Genomic DNA, 7,102 nt, shown 5'->3' on the forward strand with positions numbered 1-7,102 from the left:
GATTGTCCCCACAGTCTGCTCTGACTGTGGCTGGGCCCTTTCGTAGGGGTGCTCTTTCGGCCAGTCCTTGAGGCCTGCTCTGATCCCAGGAGGACTCTTTCTGGCTGTCCCTTTCCCTGCCCTCTCTGCTAAGCTTTCAGCTGGTCTACTTTGCCATCATGGAGCTACTGCCTACTCTTAATTGCTCACCAACAAAATTTATCTTGTTTCTGACAGTGCCTGAGGTTTGAACTTTCCTATACTCTGTTCCAAATAATTAGTTATCCTTAGGGGAAGTTACAGAGCCCTTTGTTCTTGTGACCTGTCTCTCCCTGCTCTGGAGGTGGTGCAGGGGCAGTGGCCTGCTTTTCTGTGAATGACACCTCTGGTCTACAGGAAGGGTACTGTGTGAGCATAGGAGCAACTGGTCTTCTCTCCTTGCCTCTCCCAGCATAAGACCTCCACCCAGTGAGTGAGATGGAGTGAATGGGACCCAGTACTCAGAATGCTATGCCTAGCGTAGAGCTTCCCCTCCATGAGTAAAGGCTGGACTGAGGTAGGGACCCCTCTGCTTCTTGGTCTAGAATAGAGCTTCTGCCACAGAGTTGGCAGGGGTGGGAGCTGTGAATTGTCAATGTTGGTAGTCTCCCCCTCCCTGGGAGAAACCATAACCCTGTGTATTTGGAGCTGTGGGAAGAGGTAGCCCCATCTTCTTGGCCATACCTGCCCAGGGTAGAGCTTCCTTTATGCTGAGCTTCAGAGGAGGGGATTTGTACCAGGGAAGGGAGCAGGTTGTGGGTTGTGGGTCACATGCCACAGATTCTTGCTGCTCTTACTGAGATTTGATAAATCTTCTTGAGAAAAATATTTCTTCATCTATACACTTAGGACAATTTCCAGAGACTTTAAGTGGTTGGTTTTTATTATTTTTATCTGTTGTAGTTGTTTCACTGGAAGGAGGGCCCAAGGATATCCTTATTTTAGAAGTACTTCCCTGGTGTACCCTAAAATTGTGTGAAAATGTTCAGGCCTTTTTTGCTGGTTTAGAATTCAAACATGTGCGAGGGATAGTTTTTAACACGCTACTTACTAGCGCAGCAATCTGGCAAGGACTATTACATGTAGACTGGCATCGGATGCAGTCCCTAGAAAATACCCCAAATAGGAGAGACTTCTATTTCTGGCAGTTAGGCAGACTAGATTACTGGAAAGACCCTCCCACCGGGAAAAACCCTAAAATGTATAGTAAGATTTTTTAAAATATTTTTAATGACATCAATAACTACTCAATTAGCAAAGAATACTCATAAATCAATGATTAAGTGAAAGAGGAAACTCAGAGAAGGGGTAGCATATTGAAGGTGGCTTTCCCCTTAAGGATATTTGGTGAACCGAATAAATTCTAATAACTGTTCGCACAGCTTTCCCAACCATAAGGAATACAAGGAAGTCCAAGGCTCCTGTGCAGTATCTAATAGGAGACCCTCCCCATACGAGCCTGAAACCTCAAAAGGCTAAACTCTCAGTGTAAAGATGAACAAAAAATACTCCCCACTAGAAAACTACAAGGAAAACTGACTATCTCAAAACATAGTGCTGGGTAGGGCCAGGGGAATTTCCCTCTGAGAATTCATAACAATAAACCATCCCTCACGTGAGTTTACAACCCAGTTTGATTGTATCTGAGTGGCCAAAAATCCTAAGCCATGAAGTTAAAGTATCCCCAGCTTGTAGTTTCCTCCAGCACCTTGTAGAATCAAATGTAAGTCATCTTGAAAGAACCCATCTTCAACCCAGGCCTCAAATTATTCCTAGAAATAAAGTTCCAAGATATTTAAGCTCACAACCAAAAAAAACCCCACAAAATATACAAGTAAACCAAGCACCAAGAGTGAGAAATAGCAGGGACATTATTAGACACCACCATTATTAGACCTCAGATATTAGCATTATTAGCATACAACAGAAAGGAAATACAGCTAATATGTTTACATATTAAAAGAATTTGAAAAGCGAAAAAGCCACTGATTATGAAAAATGACCAATCATGTTGATAACATTCTAGAAATGAAAAAATATAATCAAATTGTAAAATTTGGAGATGTAAGTTTAGCGGAACATTACATACAATTGAAAGAGAATGTGGTGAGCTGGAACACAGATTTTGGAGATGATGCCCAACCGAGAAACAGAATATGAGAGGTGAAGTGACATGGAATAGATCTAACTTAGGTCTAGCTAAATTCCTAGTGGAAAGGAGAAAGAGAATGGGGGAAAGTCAATATAAGAGCAGCTAATAACCAAGAACTTTTCAGAACTGATAAAAGGTAGAAACAAAAATCCACATATTCAGGGATCCAGATGAATTCCAAGCAGTGAAAATAAAAATCAATCTAAACTTGGAAGCACCATAGTGATAAATGCAGAACACCAAAGACAAGGAGAAGATCTTTAAAACAGAGAGAAAAACCACTGTCCAAGAAACACAAACATCTCAGTACCTGACCTCTCAACAGTAATAATGGAAATCAGAAGGCCATAAAATGTGCTTGGAAAAACCTCTCAGTCTCGAATACCCAGGAAAGAAATATTTCATGAACTAGGATAAAGATGTAATTTTCATACAAACCAAAGCTAAAAGACTTTTTCACCAATAGACCCTCACAAAATAAAGCTGTATTGGATATAACTTCAAACTAAAGGATAAATAACCCAGGTGAAAGAAGAATGAATAATAAGCAAAGGAAGTGGTAAATATGTGGGCAAATCAAAATACGTGGTATGAAGAATAATAATGAAGTGCTGAATAAAAACTGAAAACCAAGCTACAAGTAAAATACATGACTACATGAATATCCCACATCTGGGTTCAGAGGGGGCTCTTCTGCCTTAAAGTATTCTCAGATCCTTGAATTGTTCTGGCAAAGAGCAAAGATAAGTAACTTTGATTTTCATAAGTTAAAGATGACTTAAAGTTTTTATGACCATATATGAAAGAGTAGGAATACTATGCATGACTTCCAAAGTAGTAGAGAGGGGAAATGGAATTGAAAGACAAACCTGGCTGGCTTGGAGGCTCACACCTGTAATCCCAGCACTTTGGGAGGCCGAGGCGGGCGGATCACGAGGTCAACAGATTGAGGCCATCCTGGCCAACATGGTGAAACCCCGTCTCTAATAAAAATACAAAAATTAGCCAGTCATGGTGGCAGGCGCCTGTAGTGCCAGTTACTCAGGAGGCTGAGGCAGGAGAATCACTTGAACCTGGGAGGCAGGGGTTGCAGTGGGCCAAGATCATGCCACTGCACTCCAGTCTGGGCGACAGAGCGAGCCTCTGTCTCAAAGGACAGCAAGAAAGGAGAGAAAAAAATGTAATATTAGCAGAACAAATAGGACAAAATCTAAATACCCCTAGTAAAAGACTTAAATTATCAGGCTGTGTTGTTTTTAAACCTGTCTGTGTATTAGAGATGTAGCCAAAATACAAACAGATAAGTAAAAAGATGGCAAAAGATATCCAATGCAAAAACCCAAAACAGCCGGCTTTCTTACACCAAACATCATACAAAACAGACTTCAAGGAAAAATTAGAAACAAAAAGGTTGCCCCAAAAAGGTTTATTTCACCAGAAGATAGGATAATTTCCAAATCTATGCAAGTAGTAACCTCTTGCATAGAAATATACCTTCAAGATACATTTCCAAAAATAAGCATGTTTACATGGAGTTGGAATGACAGACGTTCACATGCTTCTTCCAGTAACTGACAGATCAGGCAGGCCAAGAAATGTCTTACATTTAAATGTTTTCCATTTTAGAAGTTTATTGAAGATATTATGAATAACTTTATACCAATATAGAGTTGAAAACAAAATACAGCAATTTCTAGAAAGCAGCAACTTAGTAAAACGGATTCAAGAACAAAAAGAAAAGTTCAGTCATCCTATTTATCAGGGAAATGTAATCACTATTTCAGAATCTTCCCATGAAGAAATACAAAGTCCAGAACATTTTACTGGCAAGTGCTACCACACACTTAAATGACAATTAATTTTAATCTGACACAGTCTATTCCAGAGAACAGAAAAATAGGAACACTCTCCCAGTCACTGTATGAGGTTAGCAAAACCTTGGTAGCAAAACTAAAGACAGTACAAGAAGGAAAAATAAAGGCCCATCTTACTCATGCCCATAGGCTTAAAAAAAAAAAAAAAGAACTAAGCAAGATATTATCCAATAATGAAGCCAAAGAATGATTGTCAACTTCATTATGTCTAAACCTGGCAGGGCAGGCCTCCCATTCGCAGATTTCCCCACCATCCAGCAGTGAGTGTGTTTGCAGTATTGGTAAAACAGTGCTGTGAAGATTTTTTTAATCACCAAATCTGTCAAAATTGCCACAAGTACAATCCCACATGTCCTTCACCCAAAGCCACAAGCACAGCTCCTCAGCTCCGTCCACTGAGATGATGACAGAAGGATTTCCAGTCTCGGCTCTCACTCACCTCGTGTCTTCTCTCCCCTTGTCTCTGTTTTCCTTTTTTCAGTGGCTGCTTCAACCCCCAACTCCACTGCTGGTGCAGCCATGAACTCCTTGACCTCTCTCGGGACTCTGCAAGGACTGGCTGGAGCCACTGTTGGACTGAATAATATTAATGCACTAGCAGGTACCATCAACAGTGAGTATTTGCTGCTCTGGTGGACAGCCTTCCCCCAAATTCTCCACAGAAAGTGGTCAGCCAGAAATGACCCGAAAAAGGATATGCCACGGGGAGAACTAAAACTTGGGATGGAGGAGCACATGCTTTGATAGGCAAAAGCTGTCTACACTCGTTTTGCCTCAGAAAATCCCCAACCACTCTCCACCCCCAGATTCTCTTCAGTGTGTAGCACAGCGCGTGTGCTCATCCATGGGGTTCTGTGGCTGGCAGCTCTTTTCAGGTTTCCAGGAGTTTGGTTTGGTTTGGTTTCGGTCGGTTCTGTCCTGCGAGGCAGGGTGTTACGGTGGGAAAAGTTAATGGACTGGAAGGCTGGAAGCCTGAACCCAGCTCTGCTGCCAGGCAGCTGTGGGAAGTCAGGCAGATGCTGCTCCCTCTCTGGGCTTGGGAGTCTCCATTTGAGAATGGAAAGTTCTGGGTCAGATGATTCTTAAAGGTAGCCTCCAGCTCCAAAGTCTAAAGATTCATGACAATTAAATAGGGGAGAAAATTAGGCCTTGGAAAGAAGGAAATGAAACTGAGGGGAGAGGAGCCACTGCTGGCAGTGACATGATCAGAATCTTTATTAAGCACCCACAGGTATGGGTCACTCTACATCAGTGACCATCCAGAGGGACATCATTTAGCTGTGGCAGGTTGAAATAGGCTGGAGGCAAATCACTTAGAAAATTGTACTTGGTTCCGAAACATATGGATGGACTCACCAGAGAACTGCAGGTTCTGTCCTCCACAGCCCACCCGCTCCTGTCATTCTCGGTTGATGGGGGAGCAGTGTGCCGGCCAGAGGATAAGTCGTGTTTTAGATTCATGCTCGGTGTGGGTTCCTGTACTGAGGAAACTGATCCTCAGCCCACAGCGGGGACATGTAATTTCCCTGTCCCTCCGTTTCAGATCCCCTGGTTGCCTGAGAGTAGCCAAGCCCAGCAGATCCACGACAGCTAACAGAGCTGCTGATACGGGAGCCCAGTTAGCTACCATGCAGCCCAGGCACCCCGGCACCTGCCCATTCTCATTTTTAATAAAGGAGTCCGTGACAGTTGTTGCCCTATTTTAAGCCATGGTTCAATAAGTGGACTGTTTTTAAAGGGTGACCAGGCAGTATACTTTTTTAAAGCAAAATAATCCCAGTAATTTCATACTGTAAAGGCTCGGAATACCTTGCACTGGACTTGGTAGAAAATGAACCTAAAATTTATCCAAATAAAAATTAACTTGTATAATCCTGATAAATCATTTTCAGAATTAGGACATTTTTCAGGTTTTAGTACATCTTTGTATTTAGTACATCTTTTGGGGAAAAGCGAAAACGTGGACCGAGCTTTAGCTGACCATACCTCCCAAATGGGACGGCTCGTGATTAGCGTGGAGCCCGTGAAGTGGTAGCTGTGCCGCGGCCTCATTGTTTTATTCCAGTTAGAACCGCCTCCAGCTTTGACTTTTCCAGCAGCCAAGTAGGAGCCTCACTGCCTTGACCCCCATTTCCGGTACAGCTCCTCGCTCTGACCTTGTCCTTCACCTAGGTCGAGGACGCGTGTGCTCGCACACATCCCCTCATGCTGCTTCTCTTGCCCCAGGACCTAGTTCCCCTAAAACAAGGACTTTGATTTGACCGCCTGCCTGTCCTTGGTCTGCAGAGTAACAGGCCAGTGGGAATGGTTGTCCTCCTCAGCACGTGCTCATGACTGGTGTGTGTGTGTCCTCTCGTCTGCGTCCCGCCCTGTCCACGCTGCTCTGCTCTGCATTGCTGAGATTTTCCCATCGTTCTCGTCAGGGACTGGAGAGGGGCTGTGTTGAATGGCAGAGAAACCATGAGTAGTTCTTGTGTGGGGTCTTGTGTGATACACATTTTGCTTCTGGCAAGGACAACAGGCTTAAATTGTTTTGCTTTTTAAAATTCTTTGCCAATGGGTTAATATAAGTCTGTATAGTTCATAGAAAACGAAGAAAGAATGTTTGTCATTTCAAATAACCCCTGCTAGATAGTATGAACCAAGAAAATATTTAATTAAACCCAAAACCAGACACCAATGAAAATACATTCCTTGTGATTGGAAAGTGTTACTAATGCAGAGCCGTTTTACAATCTCCAGCATTGACCTCGAGCTAATATTTGCTGCTTGTCTCTAAATATCAACAGAAAACCTTCCAAGATAGAGTATCTTCTTTCAGACCATTCCTTCTCAACAGAGATGATTATGCTACCAGTTCCACTGGATAATTCCTAAAGAAATTCGTCAAGCAGTGGTTACCTGGACAGAGTCAGCTTCTCAAATAGTTGACGGCAGCTTCCATAGCACTGCTATGAATCCCACCCCACTGCAGCAGCCATTATCTGTTTCCATATGGAGAGTATTCAGGTTTTCTGAATAGAGCCAACTCTTACCCACCGACACAGCGGTCAGCAAG

General features: G+C 43.0%; 1 protein-coding gene across 70 annotated transcripts in view, besides 2 other annotated features; it reads left to right on the forward strand.

Moving 5' to 3' along the window:
- Positions 1-7,102, forward strand: part of CELF2 (CUGBP Elav-like family member 2) — an 874,126-nt gene that overhangs the window by 847,064 nt on the left and 19,960 nt on the right. For 36 of the 70 annotated variants that reach the window (NM_001326323.2, NM_001326320.2, NM_001326321.2 and 33 more), the window contains 1 exon segment: positions 4,526-4,645. In NM_001326323.2, coding sequence (NP_001313252.1) covers positions 4,526-4,645 — 120 coding nt within the window. 70 annotated transcript variants of the gene reach the window in all.
- Positions 5,737-6,243: an enhancer, noted in NCBI's record as "H3K27ac-H3K4me1 hESC enhancer chr10:11357313-11357819 (GRCh37/hg19 assembly coordinates)". NCBI's record gives its function as "activates a minimal SCP1, AML or CMV promoter by ChIP-STARR-seq in naive H9 embryonic stem cells {active_cell/tissue: H9 hESC(naive)}" and the evidence as "EXISTENCE:reporter gene assay evidence [ECO:0000049][PMID:30033119]".
- Positions 6,244-6,749: an enhancer, noted in NCBI's record as "H3K27ac-H3K4me1 hESC enhancer chr10:11357820-11358325 (GRCh37/hg19 assembly coordinates)". NCBI's record gives its function as "activates a minimal SCP1, AML or CMV promoter by ChIP-STARR-seq in naive H9 embryonic stem cells {active_cell/tissue: H9 hESC(naive)}" and the evidence as "EXISTENCE:reporter gene assay evidence [ECO:0000049][PMID:30033119]".

The sequence above is a fragment of the Homo sapiens genome, chromosome 10 (assembly GCF_000001405.40).
Source record: "Homo sapiens chromosome 10, GRCh38.p14 Primary Assembly".
Lineage (NCBI taxonomy): Eukaryota > Metazoa > Chordata > Mammalia > Primates > Hominidae > Homo > Homo sapiens.